This window comes from Homo sapiens, chromosome 15, assembly GCF_000001405.40.
Source record: "Homo sapiens chromosome 15, GRCh38.p14 Primary Assembly".
Classification (NCBI taxonomy): domain Eukaryota; kingdom Metazoa; phylum Chordata; class Mammalia; order Primates; family Hominidae; genus Homo; species Homo sapiens.
Genome location: NC_000015.10, coordinates 57,220,001 through 57,246,718, shown reverse-complemented (window position 1 = coordinate 57,246,718; position 26,718 = coordinate 57,220,001). Strand labels below are relative to the sequence as shown.

The 26,718-nt window shown below is 35.3% G+C and overlaps 1 protein-coding gene across 34 annotated transcripts in view; it reads right to left on the bottom strand.

The window, feature by feature from the left end:
* Positions 1 to 26,718, bottom strand: part of TCF12 (transcription factor 12) — a 373,221-nt gene that overhangs the window by 44,592 nt on the left and 301,911 nt on the right. For 30 of the 34 annotated variants that reach the window (NM_001322151.2, XM_011521960.4, XM_047432971.1 and 27 more), the window contains 5 exons: positions 15,462 to 15,567; positions 14,289 to 14,428; positions 13,863 to 14,007; positions 12,612 to 12,676; positions 3,169 to 3,247 (listed from right to left, as the gene is read on the bottom strand). In NM_001322151.2, the coding sequence (NP_001309080.1) occupies positions 3,169 to 3,247; positions 12,612 to 12,676; positions 13,863 to 14,007; positions 14,289 to 14,428; positions 15,462 to 15,567 (535 nt within the window). The remainder of the gene's footprint in view (positions 1 to 3,168; positions 3,248 to 12,611; positions 12,677 to 13,862; positions 14,008 to 14,288; positions 14,429 to 15,461; positions 15,568 to 26,718) is intronic. The other 4 variants (XM_047432977.1, XM_047432978.1, XM_011521966.3 and 1 more) reach the window with 1 other exon arrangement.

Sequence of the window (26,718 nt, the reverse complement as noted above, 5' to 3'; positions counted from 1 at the left end):
GTCAGTAAGATGTATATTCCTGAGGTCTTTCATCTGTTGTAGCTTCGTCTTTTTCTTTTCACTACATCAGGTATATTGCCCTGTAAACTGTGGTAGTGGTACTGGGAATAAAAAAATAGGGAATTTTTAACTTTAAAAAAAAAAAGAGAGACGGTCTTTTTTCATCTACTGGAGATATGTCTGCATGTAGTACCCTGAACTGCTGTCTTGCTACCAGCCTGAGGAAGAACTGCAAAGTAGAGCAGGAGCCCTGACATAGGGGGCCAGGACCTCACAACACAAGATAATAAATCCTCTTACTGTTCAGACTAGCTGAGACAAGAGTTTCTCCTCATTTTAGCCTAAAGCATCCTAACTGATACAATATCTCAGAACCTTCCTTCTAAGCACTCTCTATGTAGAAATGTATGCTCTTGACCTGAAAAGTTCCCAAGGAAAACACTGGGGATTTAAAGAATGATGGCCTTAGAAGCTGCTTATGTGGCTCTGCACCTGTGTATCTATCTTTAAAAGACCTGTGCTAAGTCTAACTGATGCTCAAAAACATAAGGAATAGGGCAAGTGTGGACAATTCTACTCACAGAGTGGGTAGAATTTTTTTACTCTAGATAACAGGCCATTGCCACACAAGATGCAAAATAATGTCCACATATTTATATAGGAGCTCTGGTTTGCTCTGTTCTTTTCCTTTTTTTTTCCCTTTGACAGTGAATATTTTATCACACAGTGCTTTCCTTTCTTCTTTCTATCTCATCTCTGCCCTGCTATGGGTGGGTAAGGGTGTGTGTGTGTAGATAAGAACCAAGACACAGGAGCCAGGAGAGATGCACCTGCCTAAAATCAGTCTTTGATTTGCTGTTTCAACACAAGTATGTGAAAGTATTTTTCTTTGATTATGACTGCTGAATTAAAAAGAAGGCTTCATTACATAATTCAACAGCCCAGATTTTCATTAACAACCTGAATTAAAGAGAAAAAGACAGCATCGCCCATTAAATATCAAATAAAGATGAAGGAGGAAATGTAAGATTTTACTTGTGACCACTAGTTTTTTGGAAAATGTCTAAATCTTGGATTCTGCATTTCATTGATGACCCTTCATAGATGCTGAGCTCTGCCATGGCCTGCCTTCCTACTCAGTGTTCATTAAAACCAAAGGATACTTTGGCAGCTATCTTACTACACAGACAAGGCGAGGTAGTGGGAATGCTGATATGGAAACCTCGGATGAGAAAGTGAAACAAGCTGTAGCAAAAATGACATTGATAATTTTAGTAGAACTGTGCAAAGAGGGTGAGTAGGGTTAGAGTTACATCATTCTTCCTGTAATTTCAGCTCTGCTAAACAACATCTTTAAGTCAATGGGTCTTTCATAGTCTTGTCTATGTGGGGAACAGCTGTTTAACTTTTACTAGACAGCTGAAGCCCTGGTGTCTGAGAGAGTGGCAGAACCTGCTAATAGCTGAAAGCAGCTGCCAGCAGTTCATCATCCCCAAACCGGAATGCTTCTTAGTAGAGCCACAAGGCTAATACACAAAGCATAGGTGATGGCCAGGGCCACAGTGCAAAAAGGCTTAACAACAACAACAAAACACAAAACTGCATGGACTTAACTAATGGCTTGATTAGGAAAACAGAATTATTTCCCCAACTGTTGTTGGAGGAATATGGTAACTTTACCCAGTTGCCAAATGCCTTTTCCTCAAAACAATCTAACATATTTTTTCTTCAGCAAGGCTTTTCTCCAAACACTGCTCAGAAAAATATAGTTCGAGTTTTAAAATTATAGCTTAAAAGATATTAAACATTTTTATATACTTATATTTATTCCTAAGAAATAAAAAAAATCCCGTTTACAATAACATCAATCATGTCTCCACAAATTTATACTGTAGGATAGTATTTAGAACTTGTCTAAACTAACATAAAAAATATTAAGAAAAAAAAAACATGTGGGCCGGGCGCAGTGGGTCACGCCTGTAATCCCAGCACTTTGGGAGAAGGATGAAGCAGGTGGATCACTTGAAGTCACGAGTTCAAGACATGCCTGGCCAACATGGTGAAACTCCATCTCTACAAAAAAATACAAAAATTAGCCGGGTGTGGTGGCAGACGCCTGTAATCCCAGCTACTCGGGAAGCTGAGGCAGGAGAATCCCTTGAGCCCAGGAGGTGGAGGTGGCAGTAAGCCGAGATTATGCCACTGCACTCCAGCCTGGGCAACAGAGTGAGACTCCATCTCAAACAAAACAAAAACAAATGTGAACCACTTATCTCCACTAACAATATTCATCCACCTTCACAGAGAGTTTTTTTCCTCGGCAGAAAAACCACATCATTCCCAAGAATTTTTTTATCTATGGGAAATAACTTAGTTGACCTAAAAATAAAAACAGACTATCTAGCAGAAATAGTTATTCATCTTTGAATCTTACCCGTAGTACATGACAAGTGTGGAGAACAAGGAGGAAGTTACATGTACTTTTAAATAGATTAATCTTGTTTATTTTACATGCTATCTTATAAAAACCATTTTTTGGGGGGTAGGTATGGCGGCTGACACCTGTAATCCCAGCATTTTGGGGGGCCAAGGTGGGAGGATTGCTTGAGCTCAGGTGTTCAAGACTAGGCTGGGCAACATAATGAGACCCAGTCTCTACAAAAAGTAAAAAAATTAGCTTGGCACGGTGGCATACACCTGTATTCCCAGTTACTCAGGAGGCTGAGGTGGAAGGATCATTTGAGCCCAGGAGTTGGAGGCTGCAGTGGGCCAAGACCATACCACTATACTCCAGCCAGGGCAACAGAGTAAGACCCTGTCTCTAAAAAAAATAACTTTAGAAAAACTTTTGATTTCATTCTTTCTCCATATTTTATCTTCATTCCAATTGCCTGGTCTTATTTTTATCCTGTTGTAACTACTGTTCTTAGAAATGATCACAAATTACATTAAGAATCAGGGAAGATATTAATAAATAACTCAAAACTAGCAAATATTTCAATATTCTCCAAAATGAATTCAAGAGGAAGGCTCTCTTTACACACTTTCTTATAGTCAAAATCTAAATGATTTTTCACAAATTTTTATTAAAGTTTGTTGAGAAATAAATGAACTAGAAATATTTCCAAGTAGTCCCACCAGTTAGAAGTAGATAAAACAGAAGCCTACCTGTGAGAGGTGAAGGTGATCCAACTGGTGTTGATGGATTTGACGGAAAACTACTGCTGGTATGGTCAGGAGAATAAATCTAACCAGAAAACAAGAAATATACATGTATCAACATGTGACAACAGCACATACACAAATCCGTTCACATGGAGTTATTTTTATAATCTAGTTGTCACCCCTAAGACTTCAGAGTGAAAAAATTTCTTGTCAAGTTTTAGACTGTTTCATCATACAGAAGCCTCAGTTTAAAAAACAGGATTAAAAAGTATATATAGTCTAATACGAGAGGAATAAAATAGATCACATGTATTTATTATTCTAGGTGAAAATAACTTAAAGTTTCTGTTAGAACAGAAAAAGGAGAAGTATCTACAAAGTTAACAAATCTGACAATCTTTCTAGAATATGTTATCTAACTAAGTGGTATCTTTAAAAATAATCACCTCAGAAAGCTATTAATACTATCTTTTAGAATGGTCTTTATGGACAGTTTAAAGGCTGGACAAAGAAAATAATCTTTTTAATAGTTACCCCTTATCTCTCATTTAAAAAGTTACTCAGTTTGATCAACCACATTTTTGCCAATTTTAGCTCCAAATGATTGAGTGTTGTAAAACATTAAACTTATTCTCAGAAGATACTCTGTCATCCTTGAAGAAAGTGAAAAAATCCTGTTATGCTTCAAAAACTGTTTCCAAGATGATTTGTGGACTTCAAATCCTAATAGGTCTACTTTGAAAAGGATAAATTATCGGATGCATAAATTTAGGTATTCTGGCTCAAACTTTTATTGCAATACTTTATATATATTTCATATTGCCAAAAATAAATGGTGACAGAGATTAATTCAAGTACATCTAATTCAAGAGTGAACACTTTTTTTGAGATGAAGTCTCACTCTGTCACCCAGGCTGGAGTGCAACGGCGCAATCTCAGCTTACTGCAACCTCCACCCCGCCAGGTTCAAGCGATTCTCTTGTCTCAGCTTCCCTAGTAGCTCAGACTACGAGTGCATGCCACCATGCCGAGCTAACTTTTTTTTAGGATGGGTTTTTGTCATGTTGGTCAGGTTGACCTCAGGTGATCCACCCGCTTTGGCCTCCCAAAGTGCTGGGATTACAGGTGTGAGCCATGGTGCCTGGCAACAACAGTAAACACTTTAAAAGTCCCCTTAATCCAGGCACCAAAGGCCCATCCCTAAGATCTCTTCTTGGACAATCCTATTCTTTTAATATGCATAATAATCATTTTCGTATCTCAGCACTCAGGGCAGACAAACCAACTTATATGGATAAATTGTGGTCAAATATTTTAAAAAGGAAAACTACTTGTGAGTGCAAAAAGTCATCCAGTAGAAATGACCTTGCTTTGAATAAACTTAAGAGCTCTAATGAATTTAAAGAGACCCAATTTACAGCATACAAGGAATTTCAACATTGTTTTTAAAGAAAGCATAAAAATGTTCTTTCAAGATTTGACAAAGCCAGATTATTGGGACAGGTTCATATACAACAAAACTATACAAGTCACAATTTACGAATTTCATTTTTTTTTTCCCTGAGATGGAGTCTTACTCTGTTACCCAGGCTGGAGTGCAGTGACATGATCTTGGCTCACTGCAACCTCCACCTACAAGGTTCAAGTGATTTTCCCCGCTCAGCCTCCCAGTAGTTAGCACTACAGCCGCGTGCCACCAAGCCTGGCTAATTTTTGTATTTTTAGTAGAGAAAAGATTTCGCTATGTTGGACAGGCTGGTCTTGAACTCCTGACCTCAGATGACCCTCCCACCTTGGCCTCCCAAAGTGCTGGGATTACAGGTGTGAGCCACCACGGCCCACCAGATTTCATTTTTTAAAAAGGTAACAGGCTTTCAAATTGTAAGCAGCCCAAAGTCTACCTTCCTTTGACTACAAATGGATATATGCACTTCAAACAAAATACGCCAATTTGTATGACATTAGTAACTTATAATTGTAAATGCCTTTATACATCAACTATCTCAAACAGTCAGGATCTAGACACTGTATACTCTATTTTCAGGATCTAGACACTGTATACTCTATTTAAAAAGCTATTTTGGAAAAGTAAAGCTATGGAAAAGAGTTCAAAACACTTTGGGAGGATCTAGTAACAGAGAGGTAGTATAAGATCAATAATAGGCCGGGTGCGGTAGCTCACGCCTATAATCCCAGCACTTTGGGAGGCCGAGGCAGGTGGATCACCTGAGGTCAGGAGTTCGAGACCAGCCTGGCCAACATGCTGAAACCCCGTCTCTACTAGACATACAAAAATTAGTCGGGCGTGGTGGGCGACTGTAATCCCAGCTACTCGCGGGGTCTGAGGCAGGAGAATCGCTTGAATCTGGGAGGTGGAGGTTTCAGTGAGCCGAGATCGAGCCACTGCACTCCAGCTTGGGTGACAGAGTAAGACAGTGTATGAAAAAAAAAAAATCAATATTATTGGTTTTTAAGTTGTTACCTTTTAAAACATTCATTGGACACATGGGAAAATTAGCTTGGGAAAGTACATTTTTGTTCTTAGTGGCTTTGCACACATACATTGATTTATTTCAACCACATAAGTAAATTAGGGAAGGTCATCAAACTTCAACAGAAACAAAACATGTTTCAACATACCTTTTCCCTTTCTTTTTTTTTTTTTTTTTTTTTTGAGACAGGGTCTTGCTCTGTCACCCAGGCTGGAATGCAGTGGTGCAATCATGGCTCACTGCAGCCTCAACTTCCTGGGCTCAAGCAATCCTTCCACCTTGACTTCCCAAGGAGCTGGGACTACAAGCCCTCACCACCACACCCAACATTTTTGTATTTTTTGTAGAGATGGGGTTCCGCTATGTTGCCCAGGCTGGTCTTGAACTCCTAGGCTGAAGTGATCTGCCTGCTTTGGCCTCCCAAAGTGCTGGGATTACAGGCGTGAGCCATTGAACCCGGCCCTCAACATACCTCTTTACCACTGAAAACCACCATTTCTTATGTTCATAATTCAAATAATTATACCATTTATGAGCAATTGATGCTCATCTTTATGAAATATGTCTTGACTACAATATTGGCAAGGGAGGGAAAGGCTGATAACACTGATGGTGGATGGATGAGTGAGAAATCGTCAGTTCTATGCAAAACTGTCAACTAGCCCAACTCATGAAGCAGCATTTTCTGTTACATACTCCTTCTTTCGTATTCTTCATAGTGCTTACACTGTATTTCTAATCATCTACATTTGTCTGTTACCTGTTTTTTTATCCTTTCCCATGGTAAAATATAAGCCCCAGAAGAATGAGGAATTTGTCTTATTAATGTAGCCTCAGATTCCACAACAGTGCAGATAAATGGTGAGGGTTCAATGTACAGATATACAGTTGTCATTAAGAATGAAAAGCATAATCCTTGCCAGGAATTTCCATTTAAGTGATTCTTTTCAGTCTTTGTATTTGATAAAGTCCCTAGGGTCCATCTCTATTTTACTCTTCCATTTCCCTTAATGTAGGTTTCCCCAGAGTTCTAGTCTCAGTATTCTTTCATTTCCCTGTGCTTTATCTCTTGGTAATAGTATTCTTTGTCAAATATCAACTATCACATCCAGGTATGACTCCTAAATTGGTATCTCTCTTGTCACACTGGTTGCTAGACTTTTCTATCTGGACAGGATCTCTTTTCATCTCAAGCGCAGTTATGTCCAAACCCAAATTTTTTATCACCACCCCAAGCTTCCCATCCTTCCCATCTCTACTCTTCTATTTAGGTTAGTAGCACCATGCTTATGGTTACCATAAGTACTCTCTCCTCTTTTCCTCTGCCACTCTACCCTTCCCTCTGGAGACACCGATATCCACAATTCTCTAATGTTTCTGGGACAGGCACATGTCATAATCACTGCCATGACACCACTTTAAATCTTTACTCAAACTTGCGGCTGGACTACTTAAGTGTTTATATTTCTAGTTACTCCCCTCTCTTTCCATCCTATACATAATTGCCCTGAACTACTGTCCTCAAAAACTTTTTTTTTTTTTTTTTGAGATGGAGTCTTGCTCTGTTGCCCAGGCTGAAGTGCAGTGGCACGATCTCGGCTCACTGCAACCAGGTTTAAGTGATTCTACTGCCTCAGCCTCCCAAGCAGCTGGGATTACATAGGCGTGTACCACCATACCCGGCTAATTTTTCTTCCTCTTTGTTTTTTTGAGATGGACTTTCGCTCTTGTTGCCTAGGCTGGAGTGCAGTGGTGCAATCTCAGCTCACCACAACCTCTGCTTCCTGGGTTCAAGCGATTCTCCTGCCCCAGCCTCCCGACTAGCTGGGATTACAGGCATGCACCACCATGCCAGGCTAATTTTGTATTTTTAGTAGAGACGGGGTTTCTCCGTGTTGGTCAGGCTGGTCTCGAACTCCCGACCCAGGTGATCCCACTGCCTCAGCCTCCTAAAGTGCTGGGATTACAGGCGTGGTGTTGCCTAGCCCTTATAGTCTACTTTTAACCTACATACCCTATTATGCAAACAAAATATTTTTTTCATTTTCTAAACACAGCTTGTCCTCCTTTCAGAACGCTTGTTTCTTAACCTCTCCCAGATGGAATTCTACTTATCAAAGCTCAGTTCCAATGTCACTTCCCCATTTATACATTTTCACCTTCCTTATACTCTTAGAAAATAGTCTGAACTTCTCTCTGCTCTTTTACTTCACACTGTGTTATACATTATCATTATTTGTATATCTGTCTTCTCTCCTTGACTACAAGCTCTTTGAAGACAGGAAACTTATACTGGTCAACATTGAATCCATTATTGTATGCCAGTATCTTGTAAAAGTAGGTGCCCAATATATATATTTTTAACTTGAGTGATTAAACTACAATTGAAATTTGCTATAATACTAACTGATAAAAAGCAGGACTCAATAAATGGTAGTATTTATCTTGGTATTTATACAATGTGGGTCAGCAACAGAAATACCAAGGGCAAAAGAGCTTGTTATAAATATGACTTAATTTCAAATCAGTTTTATGGCATAAGCTTTGAGAATAATCATATGGTGAGGTTTCACTATTTCTGGGAATTAGTGTTGATGTACTAAGCTGTCCATATCACACTGTTAGGTAGGCATGGGCTTTTGAGGGTAGAAATGGACTACCAATCCCGATTTTCCCTGAAAACTCTGTCCTTACACTTAAACAATCCCTAACCATGTCAACAACTGGTGAAAGCTCCTTTATATCAAGGAAGGAAGAGGTAATAGTTTAGAGTCATATAAGAGCACTATCTTTAAATGACTTGGTGAAATGCCCCAATGCTATATGTAAAACTGGTGTAAACTTAAAAAAAAAAATCACTGTCTAAACGGGAGAAACAGCACCAAAAACATATCAAGTATAAAAATATATCATTTCTGGTATTTTTTCCAAAAGCAGCTTCTCCATTTGTACAATAAAAGCCAATTTTTCCACTCATCCATCACAGTCACTGGTTCTACTTTGCCAGTTAAAGTGATGACAGACAGAATTGTTATCAATACTTTTCCTAAATTTACAGATAGCCCTGTAAGTTACAGGACTTTTTAAAAAATCACTTTTACTTTCATAAAAAGAATGTGTATGGTGGGAGAGGAGGAGCAATACAACATTTGAAAAGCATGATAACACAGCCTTTTGGATCACAGGTCATTTCACTAAGCTTTATCTCTGAGTGTTTATTTTATTACCAAATCGCAAACAAATCATACTTATTCTATAAAAATTGTGCTACTTTAACTTCTAAACACAGGCTTTATTTGGCTTTATTCTAAATCAGGAATATGTTTCTTTTCATACTTTCTGGACTTAAAAGAACTCCTACATTGATGTTTGAAGGTAAGAATAAAAAGAAGAACAAAATCAGTTACTTAAAAAAATGGGGGTAAAGAGTGATTTAGAGTCTAGAGCATAAACAAAGTAAGCACTCATTCTGCATGCAGTCCATGGTCCTCATACTGTTAAATGACCAATAATGAATAACTCCCAATGCCTTCTGCCAGGCTTAAACGGTAATATGCCTCATTTTACTCCAACAAATGAGACTCCTCCTCCTATCAGTCATGGTCTATTCCAATCAGCAGGGTGCCAATAAGCCAGAGGCTAATGAAAAGGGCTTTAGACAAAAAAGAAACAATGGACTGCTCCCAAGCCCAACCCCGGAACTGTGAGCCCAATTTTTTAAACACTACAGTGCACATTTCAGTTAATCTTTATTATGCTAATGTTATTGAGTCTAAGGAACAAAGAAAGTTATTTCATGAATTACTTTTAAACATCAACTTCCCTGAATTTTCTTTTCTTTTGTTAGAGACTACTGACCATTTATCCAGATTAATACACACATACATATACACACACACACACACACACACACTCTCTCTCTCTCTTTTTCCCTTGCTCTGAGGTAGAAATCAAAACATAAATTATCACAAAGAAGTCTGATATAATCAACAAAGTTAAACAGTCTTCTTGTTTGATCTCCTCTAAATTAAAGACCAAGTGTTTTGATATGGTATTAGGCACCGAAAGAAACCAGATGTTTCTTCCTCTATATAACTCTCCACGGGCACAATCTTAAAGGGTTATTGTCTGGCAAATGTTCAGGGAAACACATTAGAAATGGCACGAATACCCAGATTTTCCTTTCCTTCTATCTACCCTAGGTTTTTTTTTTTTCTTTTTTTTTATCTAAACTAATGCATAATCCACAGGGCTTTGGGAACTTTGTGTAAATACTTTCATGTACAATTCTCTTTCTTGCTATCCTGAGATTAAGACCACAATTATGCAGGCTTAAACCTAAAATAAAGGAACCTTTGCAAATGCATTATCTGGCCTTACATGTTTAATCACACAGTATTCTGTGTGCTCTTTAATACCTAAACTGAAGAACAAAGGTTGTACCCTCTGATGTTTCACAATATGAAAGATCTTTTAAGACATATATTAGACAATTGGGGAAATAGAATTAATTTTTAATGACAATAGCATAGTGTTTCTCCATCTAAAACCAGAGGCTATATTAAAAGCGTCACATTCTAAAGAACTTAAAATTTCAAAAGAGTCAGTCACCATTTCAAAATATCTATAATACCTGACATAAAATTATGATATGCATGTCAGACTCTCAAAAGTAATCCTCATTAATTTCCTTCTCCTCATCTCTTCTAATCCTTCCTATCCCCAGATAATGTAATGTTTTTCTTTTTCAGTACGTTTTGAGTGCACTAAACATATATTAAAGTGAATGCGAGTCTGTAAGGAAAGTTGGAAAAAGAATGTATTTGGGGAGGTGTCCGGCTGGGAAGTGGGGAAGCAGATGGATTGAAGGAAGGGATTTGAAATGTGCAGACTATGGCATGCAGTGATGGAGCAGATGGAATGCATCACCGTCAGCTATGACAGAAATGATTTATGGAATGACCTGGCTGCTCCTGCCTAGTAACAACACAGGATGACAGAGCTGAGTTTCCATGACAACCAAAGCCCACCCACTAACTAGATTAAACATTTCTTCACTGGATTCCATTCACGGTGAATTTGGGTTTTCTTTTCCAAATGCCATTTTGGTTTGGCTAGTATGCTGTTTATAACAGGGGAAGATACTCAAGGATGTGAAGGGTAACAAAATGAACTTGAAGGGCCACTGAGAACATCACAAATTCTTGCCTGCCTGTAGGCCAAGGTTCCCTGATAGAAGTTTTCTTTAATAAAACAAACAAATGACCTTTGAGAAAAAAAGCCCCCAAAATGCAGGTTAAATTTTAAAAAATTATCTAGCACTGAAAGTTCAAATGTTATTTGTCCTGTTACATGTAAAATATCAGTTACTGGACTCTTCCAGAATCAGGAGAAGGAATATGGCAAGCCAATCAAATACCTGGAGACCTTACAGGTTTAGTATAGAATAAAACTGTCTTCCTAAATAGGTCATTTTCATCAGGTGACAGTAAGTCGAAAAAAGGGTGAGACAATTTTCTTTCATTCTCATCAATACCTTGTAAGATAATTACCACAGCACCGCACTTTCTGGATGTATGCAGCAGTGGTTAGGAGCAGAGTCTGAAGCTGGTCTGATCAGGGTTCTAATATATATGGGCTTTATCCATGCTAGCTTATGATTCCCCTAGGGCGAGCTGCTTAATCTTTCTGAGCTCAAGTTACTTCACCTTTTAAACCTTAGTTCCTCATCTGTAATGTGGGGATAACAATGCCAACCTTACAGGGCTTTCTTGAGGATTAAATGAAACAGGGCATGTAAATGCTCAGTATAGGTGCGCATTCAAATTATAGCTGAAATATTTTGTGGGTTTTGTTATTGTCATTACTATTATTATTATATGATCCAAGACAGAATTCAACAAACATTCACTGAGCTGCATTTTGTGTGTGCTCCATCTCTACTATGTAGTAAATGAGTCTGACTTGGCTTCATTTTCCAAGAAGCTGGTATTCAGCTGTAGAGAAAAATTTATTTACACCAACAATATACAAAGAGGTTTATCTCCTTAAATGCTCAACAGTTGCTTCCTACCACTCAGGTATTAACGTGCTCTGCCTTCTCCATGAATGGCAACAAATGTATCTGACAGTTAATTGCACTTCATAGAAAATAAAAGACAATTCTGTGGGAATTCTAAGAGGCATACTACTCAGAAAACAAGAAGAAAAAAAATCATCTAAAGTGAAATTTTAGGAAGCGCAAAGCACAAGTGCCCCTTTTAAATAATTAGATTTGAAACTGTTGTAGATTTACTGAAAACTGCTCTCCCTTCTAGTTTTGGCATTCCGAAAGAGGAGATTTTAATGTTTTAAGAATCAGATATTAAAATATAATCACTGCTTTGTCATTAATGTTCTGAAGTGATGTATGTGAACTAGTTGCTCAAGAAAATACTATCGGATTCCTTCAAATCACTTTTACTCATTTTAACATGATTCTTCAATGAATCTGGCTTTTTTGGGGAGAAGGCTCTCATTTCCTATTCCTTGAGTAAATCAGGTGCAGTTGACTTTAAAAAAAAATACAGTACATAAAATGCTTTTGATCTTGGAAAAGTTTCTTATAAAGGTACTTCATTCTCTGGATCAGAATACTGAGTTATCTTTCGTGGTTCCACTTGACTTATTTTAATGGACCACTTACTAACTATGTATTTAGAAGAAATAGATTTAATGATTAATCTTGGCAGTTGGTGCTTTAGATGACTTCTTTTTCCTCTTCCCAGCATTTGCTGTACCACAGGCATAGCATTTAAGGGCATATATCAATACAAACCGAGAATAACTCTAAATGTGTAATGAAATTGATCTTGTTACATCTATACTCTTTAGATACTTATCACCTACAAAATCTAATCACTGTATTCAGTAGTGTAAAATTCATTCAGTAGAATGTGTAAAATCAATACTCACAGATGCCAAAGCCTTTCCAAGTGCATCACCTGTCTGTGAGCTTCCAGCAGCATTCCCTCTGGTTCCTGGATATTTCATAGAGAAATAAATCAAGAATTTTACAAGCAAGTATTATATTTTAGCACTCTGCCATTATTCCAAGGGTGTTCTCTATCATCATCTCACATCTGTTACAGTAAACTAGGAAATACTCTACATGTGTTGTACTTATTAATAAACTAAAGATGAGGTCTTTACCAGTGTCTATATTGATGATAATAAAAAAGCTTCTTGTCTTCCTGTCTTTCACTTTTAAATTCAACACTAAAAAATATATCGAAAGAGGGGCCAAGGCCAGGCGCGGTGGCTCATGCCTGTAATCCCAGCAATTTGGGAGGCTGAGGCAGGCAGATCTCTTGAGCCCACGAGTTCAAGGCCAGTCTGAGAAATGTGGACAAACCCCATCTCTGCTAAAAATGGAAAATTAGCTGGGTATGGTGGTGTGTGCCTGTAGTCCCAGCTACTTGGGAAGCTGAAGCTGGGGTATCACCTGAGCCTGGAGGCGGAGGTTGTAGCCACAGAGTGAGAGAGCTGAGAGAGTGAGACCCTGTCTCAAAAATAAATACATAAATGAATAAAAATAAAAAAAGAGGCCACGTGTGCTGGGTCATGTCTATAATGCTAGCATTTTGGGAGGCCGAGGTGGAAGGATCACTAGAGGCCAGGAGTTTCAGACCAGCCCCGGCCACATAATGAGACCCTGTCTCAACAAAAAGTAAAAAAAAATTAGCTGAGTATGGTGGTACATGCCTGTAGTCCCAGCTACTGGGGAGGCTGAGGCAGGAGGATCACCTCCTCAACCTTGGAGGTTGAGGCTGCAGTGAGCCATGACTGTGCCACTGCACTCCAGCCTGGGTGAGAGAGAGAGACTCTGTCTCAAACAAACAAACAACATACATATATATACACACACATATATACACATATATATACATATATACATATATACACAAACATATATACATATATACCTATATATACATATATAAAAAACACACATATACATATATAACACATATACATATATAACATATATACACACATATATACATATATAACACATATATACATATAACACACATATACATATATAACATATATACATATATATAACATTTATATATATAAAACATACATATATATATATAAAGATATCGGGGTCACTGAAAGTCCACAAACTTTTAGGAAGTTTTGCCAACTCAAAAAGCTCACCTAGAATGCTGTCTGATCCATTGATGGGAGGAGTGTGTGAGGCAGCAACGTAAGGTGAACTGCTGGTACTGCCGCGATGAAAGCTGGACATTGGTGGAAGACTCGTGTTTATGTCTGTTGGTGAAACTGAGTGTGGAGGATAACTCTAGATGGAAAGAGATATGATCTATTAAATATATTTTCTGAATAATATTCACATAAAATGGACAACTATGATAACAGGTCAAAAAGAGCATTTACAAGTTACAGCTAAAGAGCACTACTTATTGTCATTTATTTTTTAGAAAGGCATGGTAAACGCGGTAAGCCTTGAAGTACTTCAAACTTCAGAAGTTTTGGCAGACTTAGATTTTACACTTCTAATCCAAAAAGAAACACAAGTGAGGACAAAGTGTTGCTGTACCCTAGTCACGTGTTATAGCCTACCAAGCGGTCATGTGAATGAAGGTTGCCATAACTACTGGATTGAGACATGTGGGAAGTGGAGGTCCCCAGAATTCCACCAAAACCAGGCTGGCTCATCCCATTTGATGAACTCCAAAGGTCAGAAGAATTGTGGGTCCCATCTAAGACAAAAAGAGAAATATAAAATTTTCCTTAGCTAAAAATTTTCTTGTATTTTGATGTTGCTTATAAAAATTCAAGGGGTACCCTCCAGATATTTTTCCTCCCTTTTCCAACCTAGTCTTCTACCCACTGTTCTTCCCTCTAAACTGTAAAATTACTATTTAAAAAGAAGAAATTAACATTTTAGTTAGGGAAAAAAGTAATCTAAGCTGTAATAGGCAGGCCATTATAAAAATCTTCAGAAGATCTCAATTCATATCAAGGAAGATAGTAAAAATTCCAAATTTGGGAATAGGCTAGATTTATTTTTAGTTAAGTGGTATACTTATACATACACAGAAAGTTATTAATGCATAACACGCAATGTGCATTATATCAAACATTTTGAAACTGTGGAACAAAGAAGTTTTTCTAATAGTAAAACTAAGTAATTGATAATTACCATATTATAGTTAGCTTTCAAATGAAATGTGTCAGCAATGACTCCACTCAACAATATAAAGTCAAGGAACCATTTATGTAATAATTTATTGCTCCCATATATTTGTTTCCCATAGTCCAAAACCACAGGAGACCAAATAAAAATGATTTGCTAGACATGAATTAAAGGAAATGCAACACTTTTTCTCTCTTAACAAGTCTTACTCTGTTCTATGATATTCACTCTTTCTTTATATTGGTAATTCTAGGCATGATATGAATCCATAAATTAAACAAGAAACTAGAGTTAACAGTTTTCATACATTTCAATTCTAAAATGAGCAAGAACAGCTCTATTAATTTTTCTCAATTTAAGACCTTTATAAATTCAATCAATACTGGACCAGCACTCCAATGGTTTGCTAGATAATTCAATTAAATTGCAGTCAGCAATAAACACCACTGGAAAATTATAAAGCTAAATTTTAATTTAGCCAAAAAAAATGCCTAAATAAGGCCTGAATATAGGTATTCTCTTTCCTAATACTTTAAAATACTGGCTGATATACAGATGACTGCAGTAGTATTTGGCAATTGTTTGGTAGTACTTACCTTGCATAAAGAAAGTGCTAGCGAACATACTGGTTGGTGGCTTAGGAGATGGATAACTAGGAGATTCACGGTTGAAATCATCTGAATTTGGGGATGGTGCATATACCTTAAAATTAAACAGCACATTTAATTAAAATGTAAATGACTATCATATTACTTATGTAAAATGAGTTCTATATTCTGTAAGGGGCTTAAAAAGGCCTATCTAATTTTTATAAAGGGCTACCACAAATGAAAAGAATACTGCCTAAATCCACATAAATAATGTCAAACTTAATTACCATCCACATGTTTTTTTTTTTTAAGCTGGTTATTAGGGAAAACTACTACTCTAAATATCTCTGTAATGCATCTTGGTATGACAGTTACACCAAGTGACTGAATAAGCATTGAGCTGGCTTACCAAACACAAACCTCACATAGGCTCAGGATTCAAAATCTGATCGAGCAAACAAATGTCCTTTCAATATAGCATAACATAAAATCTGGGTTCATAAAATTCATTCTTTTCAGTGTTACAAGATTCACCAAATAAAATCAACATGAGTTTGATTAAACATTGCTATCTTTGTTACTATTAAGGGGTAACTATCAAAGGCACAACACAATTGTTCAGGAACTTCCTTAACTTGGTAGAGTTAGCAAATAAATTAAAAACACATTTCCAGTACACTTTCAAGTCTGGCAAAGCTTTAAGAAAAATCTCATTTAATTTGTTAGAGCAGTATTAATTTCCTTTGATAAACCCTTGCTTTAGATAAGCAAACTATAAACATTTTGAATTAGCAAATGGCCAACATTTGCATTCCTCTGGAAAACTAAATGGGCAGCCAAATAACCTTAATGATCAAAATGTGATCACACTATTCTCATAACTATTGAAACAAAGGTGGAAAACAAATAATATCTAAAGTGATGCACAGTCTATAGAAGTAAACCAGAAGTCAGGAAGAAGAGAAAGGTAAGCTATTATGAGCAGTGTATGAAACAAACAAATTATTTTGTTTTAGTTTGAAATGATACAAAAAATTCAACAAAATAAAAATTTTAAGTGTTGACTGAAACAGAATAACATTAACATTATGGAAGCATGTATTTTAAAAATCATGTATTAATTTGTTTGCATAAGCATAGAAAATTTCTAGAATTACACACAAGAAACTCAATAATGGTTACCTCTTTGGACTTCGAATTGGGAAGGAAGACTTTTACTTTATGTTCTTCTACATAATTTGATATTTTACCCCAAGCATATATTTCTATAGACTAATAATAGAAAAAGAGTTAAGGAAGCGCACCCAGATTAAAATGGGATCCCAACTTTTTATTTACATAAACTGTCAATTATATTAATTTATTCTTTCTTGGAGGTATTAACTGTAAAGACCCCTTGCAAATTACCCTAATCTTCCCAAGATTCAATTCCCTCTTTTGTAAAATGGTGTTAACACTACTTGCATGAGGAGACTGATGGGCAGATCAGATGAAATTATATATAAAATGTTTAGCACAGTGCCTTGTACGAAGTATGCAGGCAATAAGTTATAGCTAACAGTATCACCTTTCATTCTAACAGAAGTAGTTATGTTGCTAAATATTACCTGTTCACTACTCAAATGCTGTTCATTACAGTTTTCGTCTAACATGAGCTTAGTTATATATACAGTTTATTCTAAATAAAAGGTTAAAAAGTCAATTTTTACTCTTCGTGCTAGTCCTGATAATACTAGCACAGGTGACTTTTTTTTTTTTAAATGGACTGGCATTCAGGTTTGTTTCCTACCTTTCACATCCCAGAGGTAAAAACACACATCTGTGGTACCTGAGAAGTCTTAGAAAAGATACAGTATATTCCCAAGAATCATCTAGAAGGATCCCCTAGTTTGGGGAATATGGCAGATAAAATGGTTTGTTCCTCATAAGCATACTTTTCTGGTTTAAAGGTATTTCACAAATGATTGTGTTGAAATAAAATAACTGACTATATACCAATGTGTCTGCAATGTATTGTACAGGCTGATAGGCAGATAAGGTTTTCAGGAAAGGAACTTTGGACTATTTTCTTTTAATCAAGTTTCATCTTCTAAACTTAGCCCTAGCTAGAAGTTCTCTGTCCCCTTTCTATATAGATTTCCTCAAGCCAAGCTAAACCATGAACAACAAAAAAACAGAATAAATCCACAGACCTAGCCAGAAAGTACAATGTGAATCAAATTTAGAAGACAGCACCCGAACACATGCTTTTTATCACAAATGTGCACTTACTATACACATCATCCTTGATATGTAAGTATGAAATATAAAATTCTCTAATTTTATCCAGGTTATAGACTGAAACAGTAAGTCAGTCTCTCATACTTGATAATTATGAAAACACTCCAGTTTTGATGTGTCATTTCACACAAAAATGGACATAATTTGTCAGTTTAAATTTTTACATAATTTATCAATTTATATTTCTTTATCCTTATTCCCATTCAATTCGCTGTATTTCACACACTAATATACTTACATTTTTAAATTTTGAAAATGGTTACAATTACAGAAGGAAGTCAAAGGATAAACTTTCCTGATTTACAAATCGCTGCTAAATAAAAGAGAATATGCTGATCAGAAAATGGTTTATTCACGGTTGTCATGGAGAGCAAGAAAACTAAGATAAACCACACAAAGCACAGAAAGAGACTTGCCTTCCCTTACGCAAAAATTTTGAAGTTGTATGGAGAAAATGGCACATTTTAGAGGTAAAGTTTGTTTTTAATGCTATTTCTTTCAAACAGATTTTGAAAACAATGGACTTTTAAAGGACAGACCTTATAAATGAAAATGGCAAAAAAAAATCCTACTATATCATTTTTGTATTAACACGAGTTCAAAATTTTCATCATAAGAATGTTTTGAAATATATGGCTTTCAAAGAGGTACATTTACCAGCATTTCTAACACAGGCTAAATAAGCTAAATAACTTTACTTTTGGTATCTTAACTATAGCTTGCAAAAACATAGATGCAATGTTATGAAGCAGCAGTTGTGCCAGTCTTGATTTTTCAGATCAAAGACTTCTTGCGGCAAAGCACAACTGATGTGGTCTCAAAGGCTTTATTAACTCCAGATGTAGGGAAATAGTCAGCCAATTCCACAAAAAGAGCAAGTCTCTCTTGGTTACAATCAGTACTGGCCACAAATTAAAATCAGACTGCTTATGTCATCTGATCACCTGAACATAGATGCCAGTTTTTTTCCCCTAGTTAATGATCTAATCATTGGTTTAAATCTGAAGGATGATTTTGTATCATGACAGTCGATCTTAAAATTAAGAGAAAGGAATATATATGCTTTAAGATAATTAAAATCTACCAGGAGTCAAACTATTTTAAAGAGAATAGAAAAAGGGTAAAATTAAGTAATTTAAGATGTTCTATTAAAATGTGGTAGATATTTTCTTTAGAATTCTATCCTCCTTTTCAGAATGCCAAGCTCACAGTAGCTACCATGGGACCAACTCTTTTCCCAAGCACTTATACTTTCCCCTCTAAGAATGGTGTTAAGAAAAATTTTGAATGTGTGGTGAACAGACAGTTCTAACTTGGAAGAATAAAATAGAAAATCTAACAGATACCTCCCCTTCACTATTAAGTCTGTTGAAAACAACGCAATCACATAAATCATATCTTGCATGTCCTCATCACACTCACCGTAAAGCAACTTTTAAAAAGGGATAGTATACTTTGGGATGAATATTTACAGTTACTCTTCACAGTGATTACATAATTATCCTTAAAATGTTTTAGTTCATACAACAAATTTGAGTCAAACTGGCAAAGACAGATCCCTTTTTTCCTGCTCAGATGATTCAGTTTAGTCATATGGATAACCCCAAATTCAAGGCATACACTCTGTTCAGCTCTAGAGGCTGGAGCTGTGCACTGTGCTCTCGATTTCAATACATCTTTCCTGTAATTAACACTGGAAACATTCTTGTGAGGCAGGGAGGCGTAATGACTTTCTGTTATTGAGAAAAAATGCAAAGAAGCAGAGGTTTTGCTAAAGAAGATAGTTTTTCTTTTTATCTAGTCACATTCAGATAAGACAAAGTTAAAGCATGGTGTGATTATCCATACTTTAAAAATCAGATCTACAGCCTGTGTGGTGGCTGATACTTTTTAAGGTACCAAGGGATGAAGAGATGGGAATTTTCTTTAGTATGTGACAATAGCTATATATCCTAATTGAGATACCCTTCCACAGAAAATAAGAAGAATGCTTTATATGAGTATTGTCCAATAGGTTTCTGTGATGATGGAAATGTTCCGTATCTATGCTGTACAATACAGTAGCTATCAGTCACATGACTACTGAACACTTGAAATGTGGATAGTGCAATTGAGAAACTGAATTTTAAATTTTATTTTATTTTATTTAAATACTGCTTGTGGCTACTGCTTACTATACTGAACAAGGCAGATTTAGATCCTTCTTATCCGGCAGTTTAAGATTGTATAAATTATTTTGAAACATATTCTAGAATTCTTATGTGCTTCAAGGCCTAAGAAAACCAAAGTCAGCCTACATTCTGAAACATTTTGAGAACACCTTCACCTAATTTGGAATAAAGAAGTATGGAGAAGGCTACCTACTTTTCTGAACATGGTCCAACACAGAACTAATTACCAAGATTTCACTATGTTTGGGCTTCTGTTAGATCTTTTGTCAAGATGGTTTGAATAGCAGTTCTCTTTAAGTTCCCATATGTTCAGTATCATTAAACACTTTAACACACGCTAATGTGGGCCTCAAATATGTGAAAGGTCTGTGCCAATAACAGAAATTATATTCAGCATAATTTACATCAATTTACCAAAGTAACAAAACATAACAAAATTATTTGGCTAACTTGCCCTGCCATCATAATTTTAAAATGAAAATATGATATTATATTCAGGAACATCCACTTTATCTGGTATCTTATATAATTATATTTAGTATTAAACAATAAAAACTTTACAAGATCTAGCTAAGTACCTAAAACCTTGAGAAAAAAAAAAAAAGTCTAGGTCAATGAAATATTAATAAAAGAATATCCCAACCCAGGTCAAACCCTATATTAAAAAACTGTAATTAAGACTCTAGGCCTATAATTTTAAGCATATGTACATTTAAGAGTCAGCATTCAAAAAACTAGGTAATTTTAAGATTTTTAGTGTTTAAATTATTAATTTAATTTAAATTGATTAATCTGGGGGGAGGGGGGAGGGATAGCATTAGGAGATATACCTAATGTTAAATGACAAGTTAATGGGTGCAGCACACCAAACATGGCACATGTATACATATGTAACTAACCTGCACATTGTGCACATGTACCCTAAAACTTAAAGTATAATAAAAGAAAAAAAAAATGAATAAATAAATAAATTGATTAATCTACGCAAGTTCCACACGTAGCAATATATACAACCCATGTCTCTTTCTCAATTTTATGGGATTGGAATTTAGTAAAAAGAGGCTCTTTTAAGAAGAGTAAATAAAATTTTGCTTTAATAACTATACCCATTTGTATTAGAGTGCTAGGAAGATATCAGAGAAAATTAAAGACATTTCCTAAAAACCATTTCCTATATATTTTTCTGATCATTTTCAGATCATTCTGATCTGTTATTTTGTATTAATACTGATCTTATATACATCCTCAGATAAAAAGCATATATCCTTGGCTGGGCGCAGTGGCTCACGCCTGTAATCCCAGCACTTTGGGAGGCCGAGGCGGGTGGATCATGAGGTCAGGAGGTCGAGACCATCCTGGATAACACAGTGAAACCCCATCTCTACTAAAAATAATAATAAAAAAAATTAGCCGGGCATGGTGGCGGGCGCCTGTAGTCTCAGCTAGTCAGGAGGCTGAGGCAGGAGAATGATGTGAACCTGGGAGGCGGAGCTTGCAGTGAGCTGAGATCACACCATTGCCACTGCACTCCAGTCTGGGCGACAGTGCAAGACTCCGTCTTAAAAAAAAAAAAAAAAAAAAAAAAAAAAAAAGCATATATCAGTAACCTAAATGGTAACATTTAAAAATTTCTGAAACTTAGGCCTTCTCACTTTCCTTGTTCCTTCGGTAATCAAAATTTAAACAACGTAATCCCAAAGAAAATAACCTAAAAATCTAGATAAATATTAAAATGATAGTCTAATTCAATAATTCCCTAATATCTAAGAATATTTCAACAAATGACAGATTTGATAAATATCTCAATGCTTTCAGTATTTTCATATTACATAAAATGGCAAATTCTGCCATAAACTCCAATCTGCTACTAGAGTTTTTAATGGTAATTTCAAGCCTGAGGGGGAAAATATTTAGATAGTTCCAGTAAAAATACCACAAGAACTGAAACCACAGGTATTATAAAGCAAAACGTCTGAAGTACAAAGACTGACTCAGGCACATACAAGCCATCTCCACGGAAGATTCTTTTTACCTAATTAGCCTGTTAAAAATACAACTTGAAATTCTGTAAAAGGGATAAATATGTGTTTATATTTTCAGCAGTTTCCTAAGTAAAAGGACCAATATCTCTTTCCAAAAACTTCCAGAGACATGTTTATTTTCCAGGGAAAATAAAATGAAATTTCTTTTCTAACAACAGTAAGAAAAATGAATTCTAGTTTTCATACAAAGCATTTTAAAACCAACTGCTGCTCTTACTGTGTAACAAACACAGGTGAACATTACTGGTTTTCAACTGTGAGAAAAATTCCTTCTAAGCCCATTTAAATTAATCTTAAATTAACATTACTGGGCATATCACTGGTTTTCTAGGAAAATCAAGCACATTTTAGTTAATCTTAAATTAACATCACTGGGCATATTACTGATTTTCTACGATAAGTGCTATCATTTTTCTAATAATCTCAATGTTTTTCTTCAATTATGGAATTTCTAAGGGACAGGGTTTGAAACTTGTTTGCTAGGATAATATACTGAACAAATCAATGACTGACACGTTACCTACCTACTTTAAAAAAAATTTAGATTCAACAATATTGCACCTGATCCCCTTTGATATACAAGTGGAAAGGAACACAAATTTCTCTCAAAAACATTCATAAAGTTGACCAGTGACAACATACCTTCTAGTATGTAAAACTAGCAGGAGCTAGTTTTAACTCACTAGTATTTGTACTCACTTGAATCAAGATAAGAAAACTTTCTTGGGCTCACACACCATAGTCGCAGATATTTTTGGTAAAGGGGAAAAATGTGAAGTAGGTTTATGCTGAAGTCCTTGTCATTCAATGTCTTTAGCATTCTATATTAAGAGATTTTAAAAATGACTTCATGTTTTCCCTATTATAAAAAATGTTAGATTTAACTCTTTTGGGCCCATGGACAGTCTGGAAATGTGAATTAATTTAATTGTATATTCTTCTCTCATGTTAACTAGCAATAAATACCCCAATAGAACAGAAATGCAGCTGTATACAGTCACATCGGTTTCTGTTCTTTTATTAACTGAAAATGTTTGTTTTAAAAATAAGTCTTATAAGTATTTACAATGTAATTTTACTTACTTGCTACTCTATTTCTAAAAAAAAAAAAAAAAAAAAAAAAAAAACCTCATTGGTAGGCAGGTGCCAAAACCATGGCTAAACCAATTTTCAGTATGATTAATTCTATTAGAAGAGGAGACTTGCTAAAACGTATCTGAAAGTTTTAATTTTAAATTCTTAAACAAAAGTTGACAAAAATTTGCTTGACTAACCACATCAATTAGTATTCATGAAATTGTTACTCTGACCACACATGCAAAAGATTTGTAAGAGTGGCCTTGTGCTTTTCCCAGTTACGTTTTCTTTCCAATGTAGTATATATATGTATTTTTACATATCCAAATACACATTGGATCCAATGTAGTATATTTTAATGTAAATGGGTAGTCAGGATAAATTCAGTTTGGCCCTTTGCTATGGAGACTAATTTACATGTCCTTGGATGATACAAAGGAGAAAATGTGCTTTTGGGGGACAGATAGACCTGGGTTCAAATTCTGACCTCAGTACTTACAAAATAGGTGAGGTTGAACCTCATTTTCCTTATTTATAAAATGAGCTAGTAACAGCTAAATGACAGTGGTTGTGAAAATTAAATCAGATAAACAAAGTTCCCAGCACAGTTCCTCCCACAGAATAGCCCTTACAATCAAATTAGTTTCTTTTTTTTCCCAGATTCCATTCAAAGAAGCTTAATATTCAAAATGTGCGTCTAGCTTGAATTTTAAAACTTGGATTTCTGTGTTGTTTCTCAGAAGATTAAAATAATTTCCTCATACAATGAAAAGGCCATCATGTCTGTTTGTGTGGCAATTTTTATACCTGGAATACTCTGTAGCATCTTTAGTCCCAAAACTAAGAAAAATGGAGACTGGTCAGAAAAATGGAGTAAGGCACTCCAGAATCTTAAAAGTAAAAAAAAAAAAAAAAAAAAAAAAAAAAAAAAAAAATGGCAGTCCTTTTTTTCCCCCAAAACTTTTCTTTCCTTTGCTCTCAAGACTTTTTTCTCACTTTCTGTGTAAAGGACAAAATTTACTCAAATTAATGAGAAAACTGAATGCAGGCAGAGTTCTTTATAAAGAAGGAACCTCAGAAACCCACTGTTCTCTACTATTTTTTATATTTCAAAACAGTATAAGGTGCAAAATAGTTTTAGTTTTCATACTTACTATAAACCCACATTAATACCTTACAACATGATAAAGAATACAGCTACACAAAAATTACATATAATACAAAACATTAACCCCTTCTCTTTTTAAGCAGTAGGAAAAACTGCATTAACATTTTTGGCTTTTCTTTTCTACACCTACATGCCCAAGTCTGTTACATATCCAAGAATAAAATACTGGCCATACAATTTTAGGTAATAAAATATAAAAAAGTTCTTTGGTCTCTTCCTAGAGTTTGTTCAGTTTTATTAAAAGATCTGAAATACCCTTAAATATATGCAATCAACTCGAAAACTAAAAAAAAAAAAACTGGAAAAAAGGGAAAGAAAGCTTTCTGTTTAAGAGCAGGACCACTTAGGGTTTGTCACTCTCTCATAAAACCTGAAATGGGATGTTAAAAATGAATCAATGTGAACTTATTATTAGTATTTCAAAATATTATTTTGTTCTATCATTTTAAAATAAATCTATAAAATGAGATTAAATAGTTTAAATTTAACCTGTTCATGACAAGAAGTATATTAAACTTCTATAACTTAAGTGAAGACATATATTTCACTTAAGAGTCTAGAAATGTTAATGAAAGTGCTAGTTTTTATTTTAAGGCATTGACAAGCAGACATTTCCCAATATACACTAAAATAATACATTTATATAATCTTGAGACAATGTAATTACATACCACGATTTTCTTATTGAAGAAAACTGAAGTCATCACAAAATAATAATGTTGCCAATGACTTCTAATAACTACTAGAGAATAATTTTAAAAACTAGAGGTGGGTAAAAATAAAATACATACAAGTCTAGGGTCTTATGATTTGGAGGACTAAGCCAACATATCATCTCTTTATTTATATATTTTTCCAGAACATAAAAGTCACCTTTGACCTATATTAGGCACAGACTATCAATTTTTCCAGGCTCTCTACCATACCAGCTATGCCATCTACCATAAGCCTGGAAATACCACTATCAAAGCTCCCCCTACCCCCCTCCCAATGTAGAACAAAGAGAAATGTAATACAGTAACCTGTGCTTTCCAAAGAATAAAATCTAAACTCATTTTGAGTTAGTCTGGTTCAGGGTCCTACATAATTAATTTTACTGAACTTATACACGTGCACACACACACACACACACACACACACACCCCACACACATACCCACATACCATGTTCAGACTGTTTTACTTAAAATCAGACACAAAAGAAAATTATTTTCACATTTGAAAGACAGCTGGCAAGAAAATTATATAGAGATTAAATAATTTCACTCATCCATCTAAATCTACTTCTTACATTATCCAAAGCTCTGCTTATATGGGCAGCTTGAACATACACTTTTTAATGAGTTTAAAGATATTTTGACTTGCTTATCTTTTTTGAAAGCTTACCCAAAAGTTCACAACCAAACACTGGCCCAGTCCAAAGAGCCCTTACTAAAGCAATCAGTGAATGAAAAAGTGCTTTTATTAGTTCTTAGTATCCTAGTTGTAGCCATAGGCTACTTTAAAACATTTCCAAGTGATGAAAAGGGAAGAGACAACCATATCTAATTTTAAGCCCATTTTAGTAAAATGTAATTGAATATTCTCTATAACTTAAAACATTAACATTAAAAATGCTCCCCTCTCCCCCCCTTCACTAAGCCCATATATGCATTTTTTCATAAGACACCTGAGGGTAAAATTATTTGTGAAAGATTTAGAAGGAAAACACTGAGTTTCTGACATAAACCAACACTGTTATTCATTAGTGTACCTTTTAATAATATTTATCAAGTATCTTACAAAGATAGCTCCTATTGAAACTTTCCGAGTTTACTCTTTTTTTTTTAGAATATATAAAATCCTCTGGCTTATAGATTTTTTTGTAGAAACACAGTAAATTATTAACATTAGGTAATTAATTTAAAGAATAGAACTCTTGTTTAGCAAAACAAAAAAGTATTATTTTAAAACACCTAGTCATGTGCTTGCTATAAATCAACCAGAAGTACAGTGCATTCTTTGGAAAATGTATAAATGCATTCTTTTAAAAAATAGTGATTTATTTCATGAATCCACACAAGGTCAAAATTCTAGTTTGATTGGAAACAGATGGTATCCCAGAGAAGTCAGGCTCTGGACCTGAAACTCTAAACAGGAAATACGGCCCTTACTAGCTGACTGCTTCCCTAATCATTACCAGAGCTTCATACTTGTTATTTTTATGAATATCCTAGATGACTTTCATCTTTTCCTTCCATCTACAAAGCATCAAATAATTCTCAATACATATGTGTGTATATACATATTTTATGTAAGGATTTGTTCACAATATACGAAAACATAAAAACAAATGTACTTTCAAGCTCATTGCTAGTAAAGATATCAGGCTAATAACAACTCAGAAACTCAAGTTTATTTTCTACACTATCTTAAAAATAAAATGAAAGCCAACAACTATTGAGTAGCTATGTAGCAGACAGGACTTTACTGACACTACTTCTAAAGAAATCTACAATCTAGGCTGGGCGCGGTGGCTCATGCCTG